Below are 26456 nucleotides of genomic sequence, written 5' to 3'. Positions count from 1 at the left end.
GGGAGTGCTGACTAATAAGAAGGAGCAGGGATGAGGCCAACTTCAGAAAGCTAAGGGGCTGAGGTTGAAGGAGCACTTCCTTGCCCTTTGAGAGTTCTCACAGCCAAGGAACTGTAGGTTGTTTCTTTCTACAAATAGACCTTAGTTTTTCTCAACTATGAAATGGAAAGAGCTGTCTTTGTTCCCCCTAATGGGATCAGGGCAAGGTAGTGAATGGTAATGACTATCTAGTTCTTCCAAGAACCAGGCTCTCTGACTGGAGTGAGGAGGTTGTAGACTTGGGGCCTATGGGAGTCCTTCTTGGTTACTGAGATTTCAGGGAAGCATCATACATATCTTGTTTCTAGTCTCCTTGGCCCACATTGGGTCCTGGGTTGGCCAGGTGCTAGTGCTACTCTGATATACCATCTCTTAGTTCTAGGCCATTCTGTCTATAGTTATAGCATGCACTTTCACCCTTTAGCCACCATGGAACAAGTTTGGTGGTACATAAGGAGGTGCATGTGCCTTTTTGGAGCTTGCTTTCTCTGAAACATGCCTAGAGCTTAGATATAATTCTGAAATCTGCAGAGGATCTTCACTGGTCCCCTCATTAAGTCTACCCCTCTGGGGTAAGTGGACTGTGCAGTTATTTTCCTTTTATAATTATTAGTAAAAGGAAAAAGGAGTCCACAGTGGAACTGATTTGCTCAAGGCAGCATAGCAAATCAGTAGCAGAGGGAGAGCCAAAGCTCAAATTATTTGGCACCAAAATATCTTGATGCTTGCTGTGTGTCCTAACTCCTCTGAGCCTCTGTTTCCTCATCTGTATAGGAGATGATAATACTCACATGACCTTGTCAGGGAGATTAGAGGACATATCTAAAGCTTTTGGCAGTTGTGACCCTCTCTATTGGGACCTTGGGCTTCTCTGATTGACTGGAAGGTGACAAATGAGAGAGAGGTGGCTGGGTGCAGTGGTGCAGTGGCTTGTGCCTGTGATCCCAGCTCTTTGGGAGGCCGAAGTGGATGGATTGCTTGAGCTTAGGAGTTTGAGACCAGCCTGGTAACATGGTGAAACTTCATTGCTACAAAAAATACAAAATTAGCCGGGCGTGGTGGCGTGCGCCTATAGTTCCAGCTACTCAGGAGGCTGAGGCAGGAGGATCACTTGAGCCCAGGAGGTCAAGTCTACAGTCAGCCGTGATTGCACCACTCCATTCCAGCTTGGGCGACAGAGCAAGACCGTCTCAAAAAAACAAAAACGAAAGAAATGAGAGTGAGGTGGGGCTAAGCACTGCCTAGAGTCTGGGATCCGGTTCATTGGGAGAAACCCTGGGTAGTGAAAGTGTGGAGTGCTGTATTCCTCTGTTCTCCCCTAAGACTGGACCCAAAGATAGTGGTCAGTGGGAGGGGGTGGCCAGCCTCTTTGAGCCATTTCTTCTTCAGGCCCAGACGAGAGTGAAACTGAACTACTTGGACCAGATTGCCAAATTCTGGGAAATCCAGGGCTCCTCCTTAAAGATTCCCAATGTAGAACGGCGGATCTTGGACCTCTACAGTCTCAGCAAAGTAAGAACAGGTTTTTGTCAAGCACCCCTCCCACCAAACCCCAATATCCTTGATACTCTGGGGGCCCCCTTAGTTTGGATATTAGATCTTTAGGCTGCAATGGAAGGGGCACAGCTTGGTAGCACACAAGCTGTCATCAGAACATCTTGGAATCTTTTGCTGCAATTTGAGGTTGGGATAAGGGGATAGCCCCCAGTGAAGTGAGGGACTAGAGTTGCCCTCATTGCCCTTTTGCCCTTTCTACAGGCCTACTCCCTCACATATAAATACACGTGGCACATCCATGTCTTTTCCTACTTGTTTTTTCAGATTGTGGTGGAGGAAGGTGGTTATGAAGCTATCTGCAAGGACCGTCGGTGGGCTCGGGTAGCCCAGCGCCTCAACTATCCACCAGGCAAAAATATTGGCTCCTTGCTACGCTCCCACTACGAACGCATTGTTTATCCCTATGAAATGTACCAGTCTGGAGCCAACCTTGTGGTAAGGATGTCACAGTGGGGCAGGGTGCGGCTTTACCCTTCAGCACAGATTTCCACACTTGCTCTTAATGAAACTGGTTTAGTGGACTGGAGACCTGGGAGTTGGACTCTGCTCTTTCCTAGTGATGCTTATTCTCTTTCTACACTGCTCAGGGTCAGAGGTCCTGGAGTTATCTGTACGGCTAGCTTATTTGTTATGTGACAAAGTTTTAACTGATAGAGAAATCAGAGAAGGGAGAGCTTGGGCTAGAAGGTGTGGGAAGAGATGGCGTCTGATTTAGTTGGGGAGATGGTTGGTGGAGGAAGTGACTGGAAGGGAGGAGTGATACAAGCAAAGGTACTGAGAATTCCCAAAATGTGTGCTGGTGTCAGTGCTAAAGACCAGTGGAACAGGGGCTGTTGGTGTGGGTCAGGTGAGTGGACCACAGCTTTGGATGCCATTGGGTGAGGGTAGAGGGAAGTTATTGCTTTTGCGGGCTGGAGTCCATGTCCTGACCCTTACCCCTTACCTGTCCCCAGCAGTGTAACACACGTCCATTTGATAATGAGGAGAAGGACAAGGAATACAAACCCCACAGCATCCCCCTACGACAGTCTGTGCAGCCTTCCAAGTTCAACAGCTATGGCCGGCGGGCCAAGAGACTGCAGCCTGATGTGAGTACTCCCCTTCTTCGAACTTAGAGCTTTGAGGTGGAGGGAGTCCTCTCCTTCCTTCTGGCTAAGGCTGTGTTCCCTGTTCCATTATCCCTTCTTTTGTTCTCTGAGTTCTTCTGAGCATTAGTGTGCCTCTCTCTGGCTTCACTCTTGCTTTTTTCTCCCCTCTCAGCTGAGCTGCTGAGCTGGGTCTTGATCTGTTTGTGCAACCTCTTTTGTATGTCTGCTCTTCTTGCCTGTTTTGTTCCTTTCCGGACTTACTCTGCTCATAGAAGTAGAACTCTTCTTTCTCTTTATACCTGTATCTTTTGTTTTGTTTTGTTTTGAGGCATAGGGTCTTGCTATGTCGCCCAGACTGGAGTACAGTGGCTATTCACAGGCTTGATCATAATGCACTATAATCTTGAACTCCTAGGCTTGAGTGATCCTCTCACCTCAGCCTCTGGAGTAGCTAGGACTACAGGTGTGTACCACTGTTCCCAGCTCCTTGTAGCTATGTCTTCAGGCAGAAGCTTATGTGCCAGGCATTCTTGGCACTGGGAATACAATAGAGAACAAGATGGACACTGTCCCTGGGCTCATCGAAGCATGTAATTTAGCAGATCCTATTAGACTGCCATTTGTTGGTAATGCCAAACACTGTTAGCTTTTTCATATGTATTGTCCCTAACCCCCCTCATAACTATAAGGGAGGAGGTAATATTCTCATTTTACAGTTGGGAAAACTGAGATATCCTGTCTTTTATTCCTTTCTGAGAGAGGGCCGAGGGGGCAGCTCACCTACCCTCAGTCTCCAAAAAGCAACTCTGAGTTCTTGGCTTAGCCCATCTGTGCCTCAGCCCTCAGCATGAGATCAGGTGATATGTAGTCCGAGTTACTGTTCTTTTAGGATGGGACAGTCTGCCCCAGATAGCAGTCTTGATTCATTTCCTTCTTTCCTTCCAGCCGGAACCCACAGAGGAAGACATTGAGAAGAATCCAGAGCTGAAAAAGCTACAGATCTATGGGGCAGGCCCCAAGATGATGGGCCTGGGCCTCATGGCCAAAGACAAGACTCTGCGGAAGAAAGGTAAGGCCTAACAGGCTGGGGTGGCCTCACCTGGGGAGAAAAGTCAGGGCCCTAAGTGTCCTAGACCTGTGTTTACAGCCATTTTTCTCTCTCCCAGATAAGGAGGGGCCTGAGTGTCCCCCCACAGTAGTGGTGAAGGAGGAGTTAGGTGGGGATGTGAAGGTGGAGTCAACATCGCCTAAGACCTTCCTGGAGAGCAAGGAGGAGCTGAGTCACAGCCCAGAACCCTGCACCAAGATGACCATGAGGCTACGGAGGAACCACAGCAATGCCCAGTTTGTAAGGACCCAGCCCTGACTTCTTAATGCTCTGCTTCTTGTCCCTTCAATAAGCATTCCCCTGCATGGCACTGGACCAGTTCGCATTAACCACAAAAGCGGGCCTCCATGGGCCCTGCCCTCAGGTAGCTCACTTAATTGGGGAAACAAAGCCAACTCATATGGAACAAAGAGCAAGAAAGGGTGATCAAGTGCTGTCAACATGAAGTGCTGGAAGGGTCCAGAGAAGGAGTCTCACTCTCCATTGCTTCAGGATAAAGGCTAAGCTCCTCATTACCATGCATGATCCAGTCCCTGCTGACCTCTAGCCTCATCCCCCAGCACTGCCCACCTCACTCCTCTGCTATAGCCACACTGAACTCCTTGTAGGTATGTTCATTTTTCCCCGTAAGATGCAGTATGCTCTTTCATCCCTATCCTTTGCACATGTTGTTTCTTCAGCCTGGAAGAGATTCCCCCTGTGCTCTGCCCTGTTGCCATGTTTTGTTTTGCCTTCAGGTTTCAGCCAGTTTCAGGTGTTACCTTTTCAATGAAGTCCTTTCTCAAGGCCATCCCTCCTTATCTCCAGCTGCTTTGAGTGCTTCCTTCTCTAGGCTCCCACAGTGCCCTTTATGGACCGCTATTGGCAATTTTTAATTTTTATGAACACATGTCTCTAGAGTACTGTATATACTTGGAAGGATACCATGTCTTGTCTTTGTGCTAGAGTCCAGCGTAGTTCTGAATACGGGTTTAGTAAGTGTTTATTGGATGAATAAAAATGGGAGGATTCAAGACTGGATGATAAAAGACTGCTCTTGCAGCTCTACCTGCTTATTTGGGGAGATGGTACATACGTGCAGTTGAGCTCCAGACCTAGCATGACTAGCCTATACAGGGCTGTAAATCATTCAGCCAGCAAACACAGTGGATTTCCAATGGAGAACTTTTGCTCTTCTCCCCTGGCAGATTGAGTCATATGTCTGCCGGATGTGTTCTCGAGGGGATGAGGATGACAAGCTCCTGCTGTGTGATGGCTGTGATGACAACTACCACATCTTCTGCCTGCTGCCTCCTCTGCCTGAGATCCCCAAGGGTGTCTGGCGGTGCCCAAAGTGTGTCATGGCGGTAAGGCCTCCCCACTCCACATCTGCCTCATAGGGCTTCCTTGCCTTCCTTCATCTGGCCTTATTGAGGGCAGCCTCTTAGCTCAGCCATAGTCTTAGGTTTTGGGTCTCTGTGGTGGGATTAGGCTGGGCAGAGCTTTGGGAGAAAGGAGCAGGAGATTCAGCCTTTGCTTCTGTCCTCTAAGAGCTCCCAGACCACCTGGAGAGGTAAGCATCATAATTAGACTATATGTGGTGACATATAAACAGAGGCTAAATTGTGTGTTAGAAACTCTGAGATATAGAAGTTCAGAGGAGAGGAAAATAGCTAAGGGTAATAATCAGGGAAAATGTCAGAAATGAGACTTGAAGGATAGGAATATTAAGAAAAAAATGTTCTTTCAATTTCTGAGTTTTTGTTTTGTTTTTTTTTTTCTTTTTTAGAAAGTTTGAGGCCGGGCGCGGTGGCTCACGCCTGTAATCCTAGCACTTTGGGAGGCTGAGGTGGGCGGATCGTTTGAGCCCAGAAGTTTGAGACCAGCCTGGGCAACATGGCGAAACCCCGTCTCTACCAAAAAAGATACAAAAATTAGCCAGGCATGGTGGCGCACGCCTGTTGTCCCAGCTGCTCGGGAGGCTGAGGTGGGAGGATCGCTTGAGCCCAGGAGGCGGAGGTTGCAGTGTGCCAAAATCATGCCACTGCACTCCAGCCTGGGCAACAAAATGAGACCCTGTCTTCAAAAAAAAAAAAGACATTTTGGAAAATAGGCAAATTACTTGTGTTCCCACCACCCAGTGATAACCATTGTTAATAGTTTGATATATTTTTTTCTCATCTTTTTGCTGTTACTTATATGTAACTATCTTTAACAAGTTTGAGATCTTGTTATATATTTTCATTTGTTGCTTTATAACCATTTCTCTATATTACTAAGTTTAATTAAGGTCTGGAATTTTTTTAGATGGTGTATCATGGGTATAATATTTATTTAGTTGTTTTCCTCTTGTTATATTTAGATTGAGGCAGTGCTACAGGCTTTAACTAGAGAGGTGGTTGGCTGTTCAGGACTGGGAGGTGGAGGACTAGCAGGAACAGAGGTATAGCAGGAGAGCATGCCTACTATGGGTATAGGGGCAGTAAGGAGAGCAGCTGAAGCAGCAGTAAGGGCCAAGCAGCCAGGAAGTTGGGCAGGTACATTTCATGAACTTCCTACCTTCACCCAAATTCTCGGTACTTACCTTCTACATTTCCCTCTGGATTTCTGTAGAGCAGACATTCGCCTTATCTTAGGGACTCAACTGTGGTTGTAGAGACCGGGTGTGCACATGCATACATACACACAGACAGACATACACAGATGAGGAAAAATCAGGGCAGTGCATATTGGCCTTGGTAGTGGTGGAGATTCTAGTTGGGGAGGAGTTTGGATACCAACAGTATCAAGACTGTCGACTCTACTTGACTCTCTTCTCTAAGTGGTTATAAGTCAGTGGACCAGACGGACATTTATTTTTCAAACATAAGCATGGTGTGTGTCTGATTTTGGGGTACATATTGTTCTCATCTAAAATAATGAACATAGGTACAAAATGAGGTAGACCCACATCCTATCTTCTGAGACAGTCTCAAGAACAGGATTAGTGGAGGGTTTGATACTGTAAAAGCCAGTGTCTTCATTTTCCATCTTTCTTTTTTCTTTTTCTTTTCTTGCGACAGAATCTTGCTCTGTCACCCAGGCTGGAGTGCAGTGATGCCATCTCTGCTCACTGCAACCTCTGCCTCCCGGGTTCAAGCGATTCTCCTGCCTCAGCCTCCTGAGTAGCTGGGATTACAGGCGCCTGCCACCACACCTGGCTAGTTTTTGTAGTTCTAGTAGAGACAGGGTTTCACCATGGTGGCCAGGCTGGTCTCGAACTCCTGACCTCAGGTGATCCACCCCACCTCAGCCTCCCAAAGTGCTGGGTTTACAGGCATGAGCCACCATGCCCGGCCCTGTTTTCCATCTTTCAAGGTACTGGAATATTCAATGCCATTTTCCCAGCCTTACAGTTCTAGTCTGGGCATAAAAAACCTTCTCTAAGCACCCTGCATAGAACCACATTTTAGAGGCCAGGCGTGGTGGCTCACGCCTGTAATCCCAGCACTTGGGAGGCCAAGGCGGGCGGATCACAGGGTCAGGAGTTTGAGACCAGCCTGGCCAACATGGTGAAACCCCATCTCTACTAAAAATACAAAAATTAGCTGGGCGTGGTGGCGGGCACCTGTAATCCCAGCTACTCGGGAAGCTGAGGCAGGAGAATCGCTTGAACCTGGGAGGCGGAGGTTGCAGTGAGTTGAGATTGTGACCCTGCACTCCAGTCTGGGTGACAGAGCAAGACTCCGTCTCAAAAAAAAAAAAAAAAAGAATCACATTTTAGCTAGAGAGGAAAAATGGTGGCAGAAGAACACAGGATAGCATATTAAAGTCAGAGCCATTTAGATAAAGTCCTAAAGGAAGAAAAGAGCATGAGATGACTCCCTGGAAGTTGTGAGACTGGAATTGAGTTTTGAGGAACCAATGAAAGAAAGTGGAAAAGGACATTTCAGTAGGGAGGAACTGAGCAAAAGCATGATGGGGAATGAAAAGACTAAGCCGAAGTGGTAAGAGCAAAAGGTACAGCTGTAAAGTAAGGCCTGCCTCAGGGGCCTTGAGTGCAGACCTAGGGCTCTTCTCCCTCCCTACCCCTTATATTCCAGTTCCACTTGGGAGGATTCTTCACCTCTTTGCCTCTGTTTTGGTGACATGTTCTCCTTTGGGTTTCAGGAGTGTAAGCGGCCCCCAGAAGCCTTTGGCTTTGAGCAGGCTACCCGGGAATACACTCTGCAGAGCTTTGGCGAGATGGCCGACTCCTTTAAAGCTGACTACTTCAACATGCCCGTGCATGTAGGTGATGGAGGGCTGAGGTAGTGTTGGGCTAGGATCATAGGTATTGATGCCAGATGGTCTCAGCTCACCTGGATCAGTGGGTCCAGGGTGTGATGGGCCATAGTCATCTGCTACCTGTCTTCCCCCAGATGGTGCCCACAGAACTTGTGGAGAAGGAGTTCTGGAGGCTGGTAAATAGCATTGAGGAAGATGTGACTGTTGAGTATGGAGCTGACATCCATTCCAAAGAATTTGGCAGCGGTTTCCCTGTCAGTGACAGTAAACGGCACCTAACCCCCGAAGAGGAGGTGAGTGGATGATTCATGGTTACGTGTCAGCTGTGTGAGCTTAGGCAAATCATTTAGTATCTGAAAAACTCAGTATCTCTGTAAGATGAGGATAATTATGCCTGTCTTATGTAGCCATGAGATTTAGATGAGATGAAAGAAAACAGTCTGGTACCTGGCATGTACAAACATGAGATGGGTTCTTTCGCCTCTGTGAGCCCATTTCCTTATCTTTAAAATGGGGATAATATCTACTTTGCAAATTTGTTATAAAAATTAAATGAGAAGGTATATGAGATCCTGGCTCATCCATAAGTAGTGTTCAGGGAGTGGGGTTTGTATGCACAGGAGAAAATGAGGGCCTAGTTGTGCTTCCAAGAAAGGGTACATTTTGATCCAGAGCAGGATTTTTTTAACTTGCAGGTATTTTGGTAGGTGGATATATCGGTAAACTTCGTAGAAATTGAAGTGAATACAATTGAAATTTTGTGTGTATGCTTTTTGGTGGAGAGGTAGGGAGAAAACCTATATGTTTCTTAAGATGTTTCAAAAAAGTCTCTGACCTCAAAATTAAGGTTCCCTAGGCTAAAGAAAATGACTTAAGATCTCAGTTCCTTAGCATAACCCTCATGCCCTTTTTACAAATACCTGACCTGGCAGGAGTATGCTACCAGTGGTTGGAACCTAAATGTGATGCCGGTGTTGGAACAGTCTGTACTGTGCCACATCAATGCAGATATCTCTGGCATGAAGGTGCCCTGGCTCTACGTGGGCATGGTCTTCTCAGCCTTTTGCTGGCATATTGAGGATCACTGGAGTTACTCCATTAACTACCTCCACTGGTGAGTGGGACCCTGGGGAGCCAGGGAATCAAGTCAGTGTGGGCTCCCTGCATGACCAAGGTGTGATTTACTGTGTGTGTCCCTTTTCCACTTGTGCAGGGGTGAGCCGAAGACCTGGTATGGGGTGCCCTCACTTGCAGCAGAACATTTGGAAGAAGTGATGAAGAAGCTGACACCTGAACTATTTGATAGCCAGCCTGACCTCCTGCACCAACTTGTCACCCTCATGAATCCCAACACCCTCATGTCCCATGGTGTGCCAGTGAGTACCCAGGCAACAGGGACAAGCGGCAGGAGTGATTTAGTGATGTCCTTTGTGATGGTGGTGGTGGCGGTGGTTGTCATCTGTATTCTGCCCCTGGCCTTTCTTCATTGCTGTTCTTAATTGGGCTACGGGTTTGACTAGTCTAGTAGAGACCCAAAATAATAGTGATTAGATGCACCGTATGATGGTATGCCCTCTGGGCCATGTGTTTGACGGTAACAGCTAAGGGGTGGCTTATTATCACATCTACATTCCAGCCAGTGGAAGAGGGAAGTGGGGAAGTGCAGGGCTAGACAAATCTTTTAAAGGCACACATCATTTCCATTCACCTTCTGTTAGTAAAAACTTGGTCATATGACCACATCTAGCTGCAGGGAAAACTGGGAAATGTAATTCTTATTTTGGATGGTCAAGTACCACTTAAAACTGGAGGTCATGTTGTTATGACAGAAGACAAGAATGAATATCGAGGTACAACTAGCAGCCTCTGCCATACTTTGTATACTCTTACCCTTCTCAGAGCAGTGGATAGGTCTTTTTATTTAACAGGTCAAAAGTTGAACCCAGAGTTCTGGTCTATCCTCTGTGTACTTCTTTCTTACCCTTTAAAACATTTTGCTGGGTATACAACATGGCTTACCTGTGAGAGACTTTATATTCCTGGGAATTTCTAGCATTGATTAGCATCAGCCAGTTTTCTGGTGTGGATCTTAAAACAGCCTGATCACTAGTCCTGTAAGAACAGGAATTAGTAGATCCTCTATCTCTGCTTTAAGTATTATCCGGGGCTGCTACTCTTCCCTACACCCTTCCACGCTCTTTGGCCTTGGACACATTACCACTTACTCTAATGTATGAGATAGTCAATAAATACTGAATTAATGTCTCCTTCAGATATTCCTAGATATCTGTACAGTAGGGCTTTGGACTAGGTCAGTGGTTCTCACCTGCATTTCTTTTTGCCTTCTCCTTGTTTTGGTATACTATATGCCCCATGAGTAATATTTTTTTATTATAAAATTTAGTGATATTTAACCAAGGACTTGGGATATCTAGGGAATTGGACAGAAGGAGGTGTCCTATAACAGTTCAGGCAATCTTCCTCCACTCAGGGAGTTATCCTTTTCTCTCTCTACCTCACCCCATTTAAGGATGATGATCAAGGGCTTGAGTTCTGCTGCTTTACAAGTAGACATGGGGTCTGACTTTCCTTAGACTTCTCTCTTCCTGACCCATAGCACAGCATCAGTCCTTGTCTATAATGCCATGGAAAACTGTAAAAGAGGATTCTCTTGGCCAGGCACGGTGGCTCACGCCTGTAATCCCAGCACTTTGGGAGGCCAAGGCAGTCAGATCACTTGAGGTCAGGAGTTCAAAACCAGCTTGGCCGACACGGTGAAACCCCAGTCTCTACTAAAAATACAAAAATTAGCCAGGTATGGTGGCGCACGCCTGTAATCCCAGCTACTCAGGATCAGGAGGCAGGAGAATCGCTTGAACCCGGGAGGCAGAGGTTGCAGTGAGCCGAGATTGTACCACTGCACTCCAGCCTGGGCAACATAGTGAGACCCTGTCTCAAAAAAAAAAAAAAAAAAAAAAAAAAAAGAGCCGGGTGTGGTGGCTCATGCCTGTAATCCCAGCACTTTGGGAGGCTGAGGCGGCCGGATCACCTGAGGTCAGGAGTTCGAGACCAGCCTGGCCAACATGGTGAAACCTCGTCTCTAATAAAAATACAGAATTAGCCGGGCGTGGTGGCACGTGCCTGTAGTCCCAGCTACTGGGGAGGCTGAGGCGGGAGAATCACTTGAACCCAGGAGGCGGAGGTTGCAGTGAGCCGAGATCGTGCCATTGCATTCCAGCCTGGGCAACAGGTGGAGAGACTCCATTTCAAAAAAAAAAAAAAAAAAAAAAGGATTCTCTGAAGGATTTGGGTAGCTAAGAGGCATATATATATATATGTGTGTGTGTATATATATATATATATATATATATATGTATGTGTATATATATGTATATATACATATGCAGAAGGTCATGGAGCTGTTTAGTCCTTACCGCTTTTTAAAAAACTTTATCACAGAATCCAAAATACGTGCTTTTTGCTTACACCTCCACAGCATTTCTCCTGCTCGTGGCTCATCATCTTCTCTGGCCAGCTGCTACTTTACCACCCAGCCCTCTGTCTGCCCTGCCCTTCCTATAGGTAGTTCACAGCATCTCCAGGCCCTTTGGACTTGGCAGTATCCCCTTAATTCAAGTATCTGTGATTTTTATGTTCTCATGCTGGGAGACTGCAGTTTAGCCAGCTGGAGCTCCCCCAGAGGTATCTAGCTCCCTGCCCCCATCACCCCACCTTCCCCTTTGGTGGGAGAAGGCCATTTCTTTTTATAGATATGTAATGTAAGTATTATTTTCTTTTCTTTTTTTTTTTTTTTTTTTTTTGAGACAGAGTCTCGCTCTGTCACCCAGGCTGGAGGCTGGAGTGCAGTGGCACGATCTCGGCTCACGATCTCAGCTCACTGCAACCTCCTCCTCCCGAGTTCAAGTGATTACCCGGCCTCAGCCTCCCGAGTAGGTGGGATTACAGTTGCCCGCCACCACGCCCAGCTAATTTTTGTATTTTTAGTAGAGACGGGGTTTCACCATGTTGGCCAGGATGGTCTCGAACTCCTGACCTCAGGTGATCCACCCGCCTTGGCCTCCCAAAGTGCTAGGATTACAGGCGTGAGCCACCGCGCCCGGGCCTATTTTCATTATAAAATAAACATGTCCTCTTTCCAGAAGATGGAAAACAGAAAGTTCGCCCCTATTCTCTCCACTGTAAACATCTAAGCATTGTTATGTTTCCATCTGTTATATTTTTCTATGTAAAATTTGACATAGCAATAATTAGTGTATGGTTTTTATAATCAATTTGGTAAGTTTATTGGTCTAGAACTGCACTGTCCAATTTGGTAGCCACTAGCTACATGTGGCTGTTGAGCACTTGAAATGTAGCTAGTCCTCACTGAAATGTGCCAAAAGTATAAAATGCATGTTGGCTTTCAAGACTTAGTACGAAACAAAAGAATGCAAAGTATCTCACTTAATACTTTTGTGTGCCAATTACACATAGAAATGGTAATATTGTGGATATGTTAAGTTAAATAAAATATATTTAACTTAATTTTACCTGTTTCTTTTTGCCTTTTTAATGTGGCTACTAAAGATTTTTTTTTTTTTTTTTTTTTTTGGAGAAGGAGTCTCACTCTTGTTGCCCAGGCTGGAGTGCAGTGACGTGATCTCAGCTCACTGCAACCTCCGCCTCCCGGGTTCAAGCGATTCTCCTGTCTCAGCCTCCCAAGTAGCTAGGACTACAGGCATGAGCCACTGTGCCTGGCTAATTTTTGTGTATTTTTAGTAGAGATGGGGTTTCACCATGTTGGCCAGGCTGGTCTCGAACTCCTGACCTCAGGTGATCCTCCTGCCTCGGCCTCCCAAAGTGCTGGGATTACAGGCATGAGCCACTGTGCTTGATTTTTTTTTTTTTTTTTTTTTTTTTTTTTTTGAGAAGGAATCTTGCTCTGTTGCCCTGGGTGGAGTGCAGTGGTGCGATCTCGGCTCACTGCAACCTCCATCTCCTGGGTTCAAGCGATTCTTCCGCCTTAGCCTCCCGAGTAGCTGAGATTACAGGCGTGCGCCACCACATCCAGCTAATTTTTGTATTTTTAGTAGAGACGGGGTTGTACCATGTTGGCCAGGCTGATCTTGAACTCCTGACTTCAAGTGATCTGCCCGCCTCGGTCTCTCAAACTGCTGAGATTATAAGCGTGAGACACCGTGCCCAGCAAAAGAATTTAAAAGTACCTATGTACCTAGCATATTTCTCTTGGACAGCACTGGTCTAGAATGATTTTCGCTTTGTTACTATATGAATTATAACCATTTTTTAAAGTTTTATTGCGGTATGATTTGCTACATACCGTAAAATTCACCCATTTTAAGTACACAATCCAGTAAATTTATGGAGTTGTGCTACCATCTCTACAATCCAGTTGTAGAACATTTCTACCACCCCAAAAAGATCCCTTATACCCATTTACGGTCACTCCCCTTTCCAGCCCCTAGTCCCAGTCAACCATTCATCTGTTTTCTGTCTATAGATTTGTCTTTTCTGGACAGTTCATAAAAATGGAATAATATGTGGTCATTTGTTTCTTCTCTCACTTAGCATGTTTTTGGGGTTCATCCACATTGCAGCATGTATCAGAACTTTATTCCTTTGATGGCCCAGTAATATACACCAGTTGATGAACCTTTTGAGTTGTTTTTACTTTTTGGCTATTCACAGTTGTCATTTTTAACAGCTGCAGAATGTGAGGAGAACTTTTCTAAATAACCACATAGGAAATAGTAAAGTGACATTGCCAGCATCAGGGTGCAGGGTGAGACAGAGTTATGAGCATCAAGTTCTACTCCTGGCTCTGCTACCTGAGGCTTATCTGAGACTTAGTTTTCTTGTCGATAAAATTAAGGCTGGCATAGTAAGACCCCTTCTAATTAATTAATAATAAATAAAACTAAGCCTGGGACTAGATCATTCAGTGAATGTTGCTAGAGCTCATTCTTTGTGCAAGGCCTCTCTGGTCAACACTCAGAAGGCAAATAACCCAGTGCCTGCGTTTGTGTATGCATAGCTGAGTGCTGGACAGAGGAGTAAATAAGTGGAATAAAGCATTAAAGGTGCTGCAAAAGAGCAACAAACTAGGTCATTTAGGAAGCGGGGGTTATCAGGAAAGGTTTTGTAGGAGCAGTGATCCCTGAAAGAAGAGTAAGAGTTTACCTGTCAGAGCTGTGGCTTAATCATGTGGGCATGGGGATTCCAGTGAGAGGCTCTCAGCTGAGGCATTACATGGTCAAATTTGCTATTTTTGGAAGATAGTTCTGGCAGTTAGTAATTGAGGCCAGTGCAGTAATACAGGTAAGAAAGAAATGCTGATGTTGCCTCTAAGTAGAGATAGATTTGAGAAGAAAATATGACGGAGGTGGGAGCTGATGCATGGTCCAAATAAATGTGGAGATATGTTTATGAATGGGAAGATTTGATATTGTTAGGATGTTAATTCTCCCCAAATTAATTTAGACTCCTGGCAGAGGAATCATTGGGTTGAAGGGTTCTTGATATACATTAGCAAATTTGTTTTCCAGAGAGTAGAATGTATTTATTCCCTTACCGGCACTGTACCTACTTCACTGTGTCTTCACCAAAATTGAATGTTTATCTTAAAAAGCTTTGTGAGACTTCTCAGTAAAGATGACAGATTAAGCATACACATGGCTACTTCCATTCTGTACTGAAACTCCACAAAAATTACATAAAGGGATTTTTTAACGTGAAAAAAATTACAGAGATGGAGAATACGAGAGAGGAGACAATGATAAAATTCTTGAAACTAGAAAACAGATAGATGAGAAAACTGAAACATAAGCCACTACTGAGGACATCTTGAGAACCAGCCCGATTCATACCTCAGAATCCCCCAAAGATTTGTTATCAGTGGCACCAGGCATTCTAGGGGTAAAGATGGATGGGGTGAAAATAAGGATTGGTTCATGTCTGTATAAGAAGCTGTGAGGGCCGGGTGCAGTGGCTCACGCCTGTAATCCCAGCACTTTGGGAGGCCGAGGCGGGTGGATCATGAGGTCAGGAGATTGAGACCATCCTGGCTAACACAGTGAAACCCCGTCTCTAACAAAAATACAAAAAATTAGCCGGGCATGGTGGCGGATGCCTGTAGTCCCAGCTACTCGGGAGGCTGAGGCAGGAGAATGGCATGAACCCGTGAGGCGGAGCTTACAATGAGCCGAGATCACACCACTGCACTCCAGCCTGGGCGACAGAGCGAGACACCGTCTCAAAAAAAAAAGCTGTGAGATACCCTCCCATGCTGGGCAGCTAGAAATGTCTAGTCACTCTAGTAAAAGACTGAAGATTTATTTCTGAAGAGGTTAAAACAGAGTCTCTGGTTTAAGGTCTCCTAGGTACAATTGAAGGTGGAGTTATAGGGAATGTAATTAGGATTTATCATACTGGATGCTGAGGTTCCCAGCCATCATTCTCCACTTGGCTGTTAGAACACTGGCTGCCAGGCCTTTTTTCCTACAGGCAAAAAAAAAAAAAAAAAAAAAAAAAGGATTTTCTTTGGGGAATCTGACTGGCCTGCAAGGAAAGACCTGGAGTTTCCCAAACTAAATGGCTTAGCTAGATCACCCTACAGTGAAGCTCACAGTTGACAAGCTTCATCTGTGTACTCAGAGCTTCCATTTAGCTTTTTAATCTCTTCCTCTTAAATATAAGCAGGCAGCCACAGATTAACAACTGAGAGGCCAGTGCGGTGCAGTGGCTCACGCCTGTAATCCCAGCCAAGGTGGGTGGATCACCTGAGGTCAGGAGTTTGAGACCAGCCTGGCCAACATGACAAAACCCCGTCTCTACTAAAAATACGGCATAGTGGCGTGTGCCTGTAATCCCAGCTGCTTGGAAGGCTGAGGCAGGAGAATCACTTGAACCCGGGAGGCCGAGGTTGCAGTGAGCCGAAATTGCACCACGGCACTGTAGCCTGGGCGACAAAGTGAGACTCTGCGTCAAAAAAAAAAAACAAAAAACTGAGGAAACCCTAAAAAATCCCCCAAAAAACAGAAGCAACTTGGAGATACAGAGGCTAGGCAGGGAGAAATAAACTTCAAAAGAAAGGCATATACTGTAAAAATGAATGAAGACCAGAATACTGTTTAAAAAAATAGCATACCGCAAACAAAGTTATGATAGCAAAAGTGAAAAATGTAAAAAGTGTATGTTTTCCACTTTTGAAAGATGAATAGTTGAGGAAATCTCCCAAAAAGTAGAGTAAAAAGATGGAAAAGGGTAGAAAAAATTAGGGAATTTTTCTAGGAGGTTCAATATTCAAATAGGAGTTATGAAAAGAAAATAGATGAAAACTGAGAGGATGAAATCATTAATGAAATCACTCAAGAAAATTTCCCTGAACTGGAGAACCGATTTTCCAGAGTCAATGGGCCTACCCAGTACATGAGTGAAAAGAAATTCATACCAAGATATATCCTGTAAATTTCCATGTCAAACACTGAGACCAGAAGAATCCTATAAGCTCGAGAGAGAGAGAAACAGGTTTCAAATGCTTATCAAGCATTAGAAATCAGAATGGCTTCGAACTTTTCAACAGTAACACTAGAAGATCAGAGCAGTGTGCCTTTAAAATTATTTTCTGAGTCAACAACTATGGGAGTTTTTAAAAAAAGGATTTTTGCCGGGCGCGGTGGCTCACACTTGTAATCCCAGCACTTTGGGAGGCCGAGGCGGGCGGATCACGAGGTCAGGAGATCGAGACCACGGTGAAACCCCATCTCTACTAAAAATACAAAAAATTAGCCGGGCGTGGTGGCAGGCGTCTGTAGTCCCAGCTATTCGGAGAGGCTGAGGCAGGAGAATGGCGTGAACCCGGGAGGCGGACCTTGCAGTGAGCCGAGATCGTGCCACTGCACTCCAGCCTGGGCGGCAGAGCGAGACTCCGTCTCAAAAAAAAAAAAAAAGGATTTTCATCTTAGAATTCTATATACAGTCAAGTGTGAGAGTAAGAATAGAGACTTTCTTTAAAAAAAGAAAAGTAGGTTCTTCACACCATTTCTCAGGAAACTGTTGGAGGATGTTCTTAAGCATAGCAAAGGAATAAACCAAGAAAGAGGAAGACGTGGGATCTAGGAAATAGGAGATCTGTCACAAGAGAGTGATGATCCAGGGAGGACAGCTGGTCCAGATTGGGACAGATCAGAAGGTTGCATGAGACTGCTACAGAAAGATGAAAATTGATAGGAAAAGAGATTTAAATATTGGTCAGAAAATTAGGGATATATGCATAAAAAACTGAGCAAATTGAGAAACAGGAGGCTGTTTTTAACATAGTCTAGAAGCATGTTATTTAAGGTAGTTATAATCAACGCCAAAATAATCAGAAGAGGTGGAAGTGATTGGCTGTGGGGAAGGGAGAATGGCAAGGCTGGCTGATTTTATAACAGATCTTTATAGAGCCATTTGACTCTACAAACTGCATATATAACTGATGAAAGTAAATAACTAAAAAAGCTTGTCCAGCTTGATTAAAAGTGATATTTATAATTTTTGCAAAAATTACTAAGGAAGTTGGAATATTTTGACAGATATATTTTTTAATCTCAAATCTTCCTATCATCTCAACACACATCAAAACCTTGAGAGCAGAGACCAGTGGTCCTTCCTTTCAGAGTTGGAGAGTCTGGGATTCTGTTGTCAGACTGTGTTCCCTGAGGCTTTTCTTTGTCTCCTTAATTACCTTGCACTTAAGTCAGGTCTGTATACAGGAAAATCTCTATCTCAACAGCCATGGCCTTTTGTGTTCTTCAGGTTGTCCGCACAAACCAGTGTGCAGGAGAGTTTGTCATCACCTTCCCCCGTGCTTACCACAGCGGCTTCAACCAAGGCTACAACTTTGCCGAGGCTGTCAACTTTTGCACTGCTGACTGGGTGAGTCTAGAATGTGGTGGGATGGTGGGGAGAAGCAGGAGGGTTGTAGAGAAGCTGGGGCATCATGGCCTCCAGACTTGGCCACACTCAACCTTGAACCTGCCCACAGTTGCCTGCTGGGCGCCAGTGCATTGAGCACTACCGCCGGCTCCGGAGATACTGCGTCTTCTCCCATGAGGAGCTTATCTGCAAGATGGCTGCCTGCCCAGAGAAGCTAGACCTGAACCTGGCGGCAGCTGTGCATAAGGAGATGTTCATCATGGTGCAAGAAGAGCGGCGTCTACGAAAGGCCCTGCTGGAGAAGGTGGGGAGAGTACCCCAGATCAAGCACCCTATTCTGGTGGAAGTTCGGGGAGGCAGAGGCAGCACCAAGAAGATGTAGCCTCTACTCTTGGCGTATAGTGAAAAGAACTAGATGCATCTCGATTGAAAACCACATACCATTCTCTGCTATACCCTTTACCAGCAACCTTAAGTCGATTTACTTCATTGTCAGTTTTCCCCTCTGAAAAATGGGATTATGATAATGCTTATCTTTTTGGATAGTTGATTGTATTAAAGATAATGTTTGCTTAGTGACTGACCCATGGCAGGTACTGGTATAGCAGCTATTTATCATTATTTACATGACCTAGCAAAATAGACTGGCATATGAAACCTCACTGCTGATTATCTAGGTGACTGTATCAAGTTACTTGATCTTTCATATCTCACTTTCCTACTCTAAAGTGGGAATAAATACCTAACTTGCAAGATGTAAGGTTAGAGTAAGGTGATTTATATGAAAGCCATCTCTCTAACATTGCCTTTGCAATGTTGCAGCTGCTATTATTGGTAATGTTAATACATGAAGAAACTGATTGAAATTTGGAATGTTTCTCAGGAATTGCCATTTTATTACATGCAGATGGTTTATTAACTCCAGCTAGGGCAATAATATTACCAAGCTGAAGGTGGTCCTGCTTTAATTGATTTCTTGTAAGCTTGTGTCAGTTGTGTGTGTAGCTGAGTGGAAGCTGCTACAGAGCTCTAAAGTCCACTCGTGTAGTTTCAGCCATCATCTTCAAATTTCACACTTGCCCAGTTAGGGAATTGACTTTGTGAGAGTCTTTCATAAGATTACAAAGGAGTGCTGGTTCTGTGGGATCCCTTGCTGCCTATCTAGGGTAATACTTTCTTATTTTAAAGCTCATTTATAGCTTTCCTGTGAGTGTGGGCTATAGGGAGAACTATAGCTACAGTAGTGTTGGAAGTCTGGGGCCTCTCAGTCGTGGTGTAAGTTGTTGAGTCCCTGGGCTTTTCCAGGCATCATTTTCTCACTCTGTTCAGTACTGTTATTAAATGATGGCCGTGTGGCTGTGCCAAGCTGTGGGAAGGAGCCAAAGCAAGGTGGGGAGAATAGACCTTCTCATCTTGACATTCAGAATTCTTCACACTTGGCCCTTACCTCAGAGAAGCATTCTGGACACCATAGTCTTGGAATCCTGTAAGAGATTGTATGTGTATTTAAGTATGTTTCTGGGAAGAGGACTTATAGTTTACATCCAATTCTCAGGAGTCTGTAGTCCAAAAAAACCCTAGAGACTTCATCCTTAGAATATTCTCTGGCTTTAGAGTCAAAATTAACTCAGTTTGGCAAGTTACTGACCCTGAGACTTAGTTTCTGCCTTAGTAAAATGAGATAGGCCTGTGGAATATATATTCTTATCTGAAAATTAGAGCTAATAACAGTAAATATTTGATGAACACTGAATCTAAGTGCTGAGATACTTGTCTGATTCCATAGCTGCTTTATTTTTGTTAATCCTCATAACAACCCAACAAGGATGATACTGTTTATCTCCATCTTACTAGATAATGAAACAGACCCAGAGACGTTAAATGATTTACTCATGATCACACAGCATATAAGTGGCAGAGTGGGATTTGGGCTCATAACTTATGCAGAGATTAGGTGTTAAAGTTGGTATGTAAGACAAAAACTGTTAAGAGTTGACATTTCCCATTAAAATCCCTAAAATTGCCCATTAGATATACACACTGGGTTGTCTCTCGATTACTCCAATATAGCCAGCTTTTCCTTCATTTTTGAAATGGATTGCTTTTTCTTTATCTGAGCAACAGATGAAGTCATTGGATTAGGTTTGGAAACCATATTGTTGGGAGAAAATTATTATATCTCTTTAAACCCTGAACACAAGCACATACGGTTGAATTTCTCTAAGTTATATATGTGCACAAGTATCTCCTGCCTACTAAGTGGCCAGCGTGGTGCCTGGAACACAGTGGGCTCTGAGTAACTGGAAGCCGATATTGTTCCCCAGTACACATAACTAGCCAGGCCTGTCCCTTGGCCACTTGCACTCATTGCCACCTCTCTGGTATCTTGGTCCACCACTTTCCTCACTTCTCACCCACAAGACCCTTTCTGCTGATCTGGATCTTACCTGATTTTTCTTCCTCTATAAAATTATCTGACTCAGCGCACACTGATCTTGCCCTGGTTTATCTGATTCCCCAAGCTTTGAGAGTCTAGACTTTACAAAGGGCAGGTATGCTCCCTGGGGTTTGGCCTCTTAAACCCCATGACCCTCAGCATAGATTTGAATCTAAAGTAGGGGTCGGTGGTGGCTGAGATGGAGGATTTTGCTACCTGGTTCTGGTTATATATAACGCATAGGTTAAATGCCCTTAGGGTATCACAGAGGCTGAGCGAGAGGCTTTCGAGCTGCTCCCAGATGATGAGCGCCAGTGTATCAAGTGCAAGACTACGTGTTTCCTGTCAGCCCTGGCCTGCTACGACTGCCCAGACGGCCTTGTCTGCCTTTCCCACATCAATGATCTCTGCAAGTGCTCCAGTAGCCGGCAGTACCTGCGGTGAGCATGGGCCTTTCTGGAGGAAGTGGGGCAAGAAGGAGGATGGAGAGCTGGGCCAGACATGCTCTTGCCTGCCCTCTTCCTCCAGGTATCGGTATACCTTGGATGAGCTTCCTGCCATGCTGCATAAGCTGAAGGTTCGGGCTGAGTCCTTTGACACCTGGGCCAACAAAGTGCGAGTGGCCCTGGAGGTGGAGGATGGGCGGAAGCGCAGTGAGTGATGGGGGGGATGGAGGGACTCCACAGGCAAGTTCTATTCCCTTTCTTCTGTACTCTGACCCCCTTCCTCTGCCTCTATTCAATACTGCCTACTCTTTGCTGCCCTCATTTTTCTTCCAGGCCTTGAAGAACTGAGGGCACTAGAGTCTGAAGCCCGTGAGCGGAGGTTTCCTAATAGTGAGCTGCTGCAGCAACTAAAGAACTGCCTGAGTGAGGCAGAGGCTTGCGTGTCCCGAGCTCTGGGACTGGTCAGCGGCCAGGAAGCTGGGTATGACAGCGTGAGGAGTTAGGGCACACATAAGGTGCTGAGGATCCAGCACCGAGGAAAAGTGCTGCAAGGGGTAGACTGTGAATACCATTTGGCAGAATGGACATCAGCAGGAAGCTGCCAGGCACAAGAGTGTGAGATGGCCTGGAAGGTGTTGGGGGGGACAAGGAGACCAGGCCACCTAAAAAGGAGAGGAGAGCCTCTGTGATAAGAAAGCTAGAAGTGTTTATTTTTTATCAGTACCTGGAAGTGGCCTGAGAGAGAGGCTGAGGGGTTTTGTGGGCAGGGAAGAGTTGTGGGAGGCTTACGGGTAAGAACAGGACAAAGATGTATAGACCTGATCCCTGCTAACACAGCTTTAGAGTTCACAGTAGAGGATGGATTGCAAAGTGTAGCTCTTATTACAACCCATTAGTTTCTAATTCTTTCCCCTCATAATATGAACATGCTCTATAATTTAAAACCTTCCCTCTAACCTGGGCAATTGGGGCAAATTTGAAATATGCGAGATCAAGGTGGACAGGTGTAGTGAGGAAAGGTGTTCAGTCTTAGCATAGACATGGAGGGAAGGCACTGAGTTTGGACCTGAAACCTCACATGTGATACTTCATAGCCCCCACAGGGTGGCTGGTCTACAGATGACCCTGACTGAGCTCCGGGCCTTTCTGGACCAGATGAACAACCTGCCTTGCGCCATGCACCAGATTGGGGATGTCAAGGTGAGGACGCTTGGAGTGCTGATGAGGGATCAAGGGGACCAGGGGACCTGAGCAGCAGGCCATGCTTGGCTCCTTTCAAAAGCTTAAAGTGTTCAGGCAAGACAGGACACACGTGTGAGAAAAGAACAGGTGGGAGGGGTGAGGCAAGGGTCTAGTGACTTGTCTGTTAGAAATGGGCCTTGAGGGTCAGGTGGCAAGGGTATGGGTATAGGATACAGAGTCCAGGTAAGGTTTCCTGGAGGAGGGGTAGAGGAGAAGGAGGTAACAGGGGTGCTTGTTGGGCTTGGAAAGTGGAGGGAAATTCATGAAGGTGGAGGAGGAGTGAGATGGAGAGGGCAACAGACCCCAGGGTGGTGAGCACAAGGGTTTATGTGAGGACTAATCATAGCAATTTTTAGGGCAGGGAGGTCTCTTGGTGCCCTGAGAACAGAGCCCTCTGAAAAGTTAAATAAAGCATAGATTAATAATTATTAGTTAATTAAGAATCTCTCAGGGTGGGGCCCAGGAATCTGCATTCTTAAATTCCCCAGGGCATTCTAATGAGCAGTCAGTGTTAGGAACCCCAACTGTCTTAGGGCTTGGAGAAGGAGAGCTCAGCCCATGTTAGGCTCCTTTGCCCCAAAAGCTTGGAGGGTAAGAAGATAGGTGGGACAAGGTTCCATCTGGTGGTGGAACCCCTCAGTGGGCCCAGCTGAGGAGTTTGTTCTTCATCCTGTGTCCTGGTAGGGTGTTCTGGAACAGGTGGAGGCCTACCAGGCTGAGGCTCGTGAGGCCCTGGCCTCACTGCCCTCCAGTCCAGGGCTACTGCAGTCCCTGTTGGAGAGGGGGCGGCAGCTGGGGGTGGAGGTGCCTGAGGCCCAGCAGCTCCAGCGGCAGGTGGAACAGGCGCGATGGCTGGATGAGGTGAAACGCACACTGGCCCCCTCAGCCCGAAGGGGCACCTTGGCTGTCATGCGAGGACTGTTGGTCGCGGGTGCCAGTGTAGCCCCTAGCCCTGCTGTGGATAAAGCCCAGGCCGAGCTGCAGGAACTGCTGACCATTGCTGAACGCTGGGAGGAGAAAGCCCACCTCTGCCTGGAGGCCAGGTAGGTCCAGCTGCTGCTTCCCTTCCCTGCCCTATTCCAAACATCAAAGTTGAGTGGAGACCCAGAAGAGGATGCCCATGGGTGGCCTTAGGTATCACGCTCCTGTGTTACTGTATTGACTCTCCCCTCTTTTGTTGTCTATCTTGTCGTTTTTTTAAAAAACAACTCTGTATACTTAAAGGCAAAGAGAGGCTGATGGAGAAGCAGAAATGGACAGATAGAGATTATCTAGAAGACTAGCCCTACAGGCTAATGTGCGCATACCCAGAAGCACAAGTGACAGGCAGATGGGCAGATGTTGGTAGAAAGACCCCACACAGGGCAGTTGACAAACTGCAGCAACAGATTACACAATACAGGTTGTATATGTAGGCATTGCTAGCAGGCCAGCAGACTGGCAGACAAACAGAGGTGCAAGAGCTGTGGCAGAAGGGATGAAGTTGGGTGCATGCAGTCTTGGGGAAGCAGGGACTGGCAGCTACCCTTAGGTGGAATACAAGCAAGTAGGCCCAAGTGACAGCAGGAATAACAGACACCCAAGGGGCCCATGCAGATATATCTGGTGGTCAGGCTGGGCTTCTGGTCAGGCAGACCACATCAGACTGAGCGTTCTTTTTTTCCTTACCTTTAGGCAGAAGCATCCACCAGCCACACTTGAGGCCATAATCCGTGAAGCGGAAAACATCCCTGTTCACCTGCCCAACATCCAGGCTCTCAAGGAGGCTCTTGCTAAGGCCCGGGCCTGGATTGCTGATGTTGATGAGATCCAAGTGAGGACCCTGCCACTCCCACCCCAGGCCTTCAGTCCAGCTGGGAAGAGATGGCATATACACTGGGATGTGCTGGGTTGCTGGGATGGGTTGGGTTGGCTGGAGAGAGGAAGGGGGCATGGCATGTAGTCAGGAGGCAAGATGTGCCTGATGAGCAGGGTGAGAGGAAGAGTGTGAGGCTGGCCTGAAGGAAGAGAGGGCACTGGTTAGGATGAGATTGGTGGGCCAGGGAAGCAGGTGGTATGGGACTGAGCAGGGCAGGGGCATGGAGGAGAGGAGAAGAGGCAAACCACAACAGAAGGCTGACTAGATATTTGGGGCTGAGCCAGTCAGTAGATGCCGGTGTTGTGGGAGAGAGCCAAGTGGTTGTTCCTTAGGATGACACCTATTTTTTTAATCCCTCAAGACTGAGCCCAGTTCATCTTTCCAGCTCAGGGCCAGGCACAGAGTAAGCATCAATAGCATTGGCAAGTTGAACTGAGCTGTCTCTCGCCCTTGGCCTTAGAATGGTGACCACTACCCCTGCCTGGATGACTTGGAGGGCCTAGTAGCTGTGGGCCGGGACCTACCTGTGGGGCTGGAGGAGCTGAGACAGCTAGAGCTACAGGTACTGACAGCGCACTCCTGGAGGGAGAAGGCCTCCAAGACCTTCCTCAAGAAAAATTCTTGCTACACGCTGCTGGAGGTGAGGCCTGGGACCTTGACCTACAGCGTCTCTTAACGCCTGCCCTGGCTTCTGTGAGATGGCTCATGAGATAACATGGGTTTTGTAGGGGCACCAGGGAGGGAAGGAGGCGGGGGATGTAAGGGAAGCCCAGTCATTCCCTCTCTTGTCTGCCTGCCCCAGGTTCTCTGCCCATGTGCAGATGCCGGCTCAGACAGCACCAAGCGCAGCCGGTGGATGGAGAAGGAGCTGGGGTTGTACAAATCTGACACAGAGCTGCTGGGGCTGTCTGCGCAGGACCTCAGGGACCCAGGCTCTGTGGTAAGGAGCTTCGACACAGATGGGGAGAAGGGCTTGGTGATGATAGAGTGTCTGAGCTGGGTGGCCATGAGCAGACCGCTTGTCCCCTGAGCCTCAGTTCTCCTGGTTTGGGAGTGGGGGTGTTAAGGGGGGGCCCAGAGAAGGGAAGGGGTAGGCTGCTGACCCACTTTGCTCCTGTCCTGGGTATGGCAGATCGTGGCCTTCAAGGAGGGGGAACAGAAGGAGAAGGAGGGTATCCTGCAGCTGCGTCGCACCAATTCGGCCAAGCCCAGTCCACTGGCATCATCGAGCACGGCCTCCTCTACAACCTCTATCTGTGTGTGTGGGCAGGTGCTGGCTGGGGCGGGAGCTCTGCAGTGTGACCTGTGTCAGGACTGGTTCCATGGGCGGTGTGTGTCAGTGCCTCGCCTCCTCAGCTCTCCGAGGCCCAATCCCACCTCATCCCCACTGCTGGCCTGGTGGGAATGGGACACCAAATTCCTGTGTCCACTGTGTATGCGCTCAAGGCGCCCGCGCCTGGAGACCATCCTGGCACTGCTGGTAGCCCTGCAGAGACTGCCTGTGCGGCTGCCCGAGGGCGAGGCCCTGCAGTGCCTCACAGAGAGGGCCATCAGCTGGCAAGGCCGCGCCAGGCAGGCTCTGGCCTCTGAAGATGTGACTGCTCTTTTGGGACGGCTGGCTGAGCTCCGCCAACGGCTACAGGCTGAACCTAGACCTGAGGAGCCTCCTAACTACCCTGCAGCCCCTGCTTCTGACCCCCTCAGAGAGGGCAGTGGCAAGGATATGCCTAAGGTGAGCTACTCAGCCCAGCTCTTGTCCTCAGATTCTTGTCTCCTAGCCCCTACCCCAGTTTAGGCTCGGCCCTGCCCCTTGTTCTCCAATTTTCAGTTTTCTTTGGACCAGCCTTCCTACTCCATTCTGCATCTGTCCAGATTCCTAGACTCTGCTCCCTGCTGGCAGCCTGTGTCTTCCCTCCTCCTCCAGAAGGCGGAGGGTCTCAAGTTTGGGGTTGGCGGAGGAGGAATAGGGCCTGGTTCTTCACTTCAGTTGCCCCTACCTATTCTTGCTCTCCTCCGCAGGTCCAGGGCTTACTGGAGAATGGAGACAGTGTGACCAGTCCTGAGAAGGTAGCCCCGGAGGAGGGCTCAGGTAAGAGAGGTAGGTCTAGGTGTGGTGTGGGTAGGCTGTTGACTGCACATCACCATAGTGACCCATGTAGTCCTCAGCTCTGTTGTAGTGGTGGGGATAAGACCAAGGGCAGCCTCTAATGCCGCTTGTTCCTGCAACCTCCTAGATCTGGAGCTGCTGTCCTCGCTGTTGCCACAGTTGACTGGCCCTGTGTTGGAACTGCCTGAGGCAACCCGGGCCCCCTTGGAGGAGCTCATGATGGAGGGGGACCTGCTCGAGGTGACCCTGGATGAGAACCACAGCATATGGCAGCTGCTGCAGGCTGGACAGCCCCCAGACCTGGAGAGGATCCGCACACTTCTGGAGGTGAGGAGAGGGGTCATGGGCCGGGCCAGGAGGTCAGGCCGAGTAGGGAGCCCAGGCCTGACCACT

General features: G+C 47.2%; 1 protein-coding gene and 2 non-coding genes across 13 annotated transcripts in view; all 3 read left to right on the top strand.

The window, feature by feature from the left end:
* The window catches only part of KDM5C (lysine demethylase 5C), a 48931-nt gene that overhangs the window by 5381 nt on the left and 17094 nt on the right, over positions 1-26456 (top strand). For 3 of the 11 annotated variants that reach the window (NM_001353981.2, NM_001353984.2, NM_001353978.3), the window contains exons 3-25: positions 1429-1551; positions 1861-2031; positions 2550-2684; positions 3630-3753; positions 3851-4032; positions 4980-5138; positions 7921-8040; positions 8172-8330; positions 8970-9151; positions 9251-9413; positions 17854-17973; positions 18083-18277; positions 20669-20850; positions 20939-21063; positions 21190-21337; positions 21951-22056; positions 22783-23141; positions 23773-23911; positions 24417-24596; positions 24759-24896; positions 25089-25688; positions 25976-26045; positions 26191-26390. In NM_001353981.2, coding sequence (NP_001340910.1) covers positions 1429-1551; positions 1861-2031; positions 2550-2684; positions 3630-3753; positions 3851-4032; positions 4980-5138; positions 7921-8040; positions 8172-8330; positions 8970-9151; positions 9251-9413; positions 17854-17973; positions 18083-18277; positions 20669-20850; positions 20939-21063; positions 21190-21337; positions 21951-22056; positions 22783-23141; positions 23773-23911; positions 24417-24596; positions 24759-24896; positions 25089-25688; positions 25976-26045; positions 26191-26390 — 4080 coding nt within the window. Of the gene's footprint in view, positions 1-1428; positions 1552-1860; positions 2032-2549; positions 2685-3629; positions 3754-3850; positions 4033-4979; positions 5139-7920; positions 8041-8171; positions 8331-8969; positions 9152-9250; positions 9414-17853; positions 17974-18082; positions 18278-20668; positions 20851-20938; positions 21064-21189; positions 21338-21950; positions 22057-22782; positions 23142-23772; positions 23912-24416; positions 24597-24758; positions 24897-25088; positions 25689-25975; positions 26055-26190; positions 26391-26456 lie in introns of all 11 variants that reach the window. The other 8 variants (NR_148673.2, NM_001353982.2, NR_148672.2 and 5 more) reach the window with 5 other exon arrangements.
* On the top strand, positions 20882-20938 carry MIR6894 (microRNA 6894). The gene has a single exon (NR_106954.1). It is a non-coding gene; the product is annotated as a microRNA 6894 (primary transcript).
* MIR6895 (microRNA 6895) lies at positions 24339-24416 on the top strand. Its single transcript, NR_106955.1, has one exon. It is a non-coding gene; the product is annotated as a microRNA 6895 (primary transcript).

This window comes from Homo sapiens, chromosome X (genome assembly GCF_000001405.40).
Source record: "Homo sapiens chromosome X, GRCh38.p14 Primary Assembly".
Classification (NCBI taxonomy): domain Eukaryota; kingdom Metazoa; phylum Chordata; class Mammalia; order Primates; family Hominidae; genus Homo; species Homo sapiens.
Note: the sequence above shows the minus strand (reverse complement) of the source record. Positions and strands in the feature narration are given on the sequence as shown.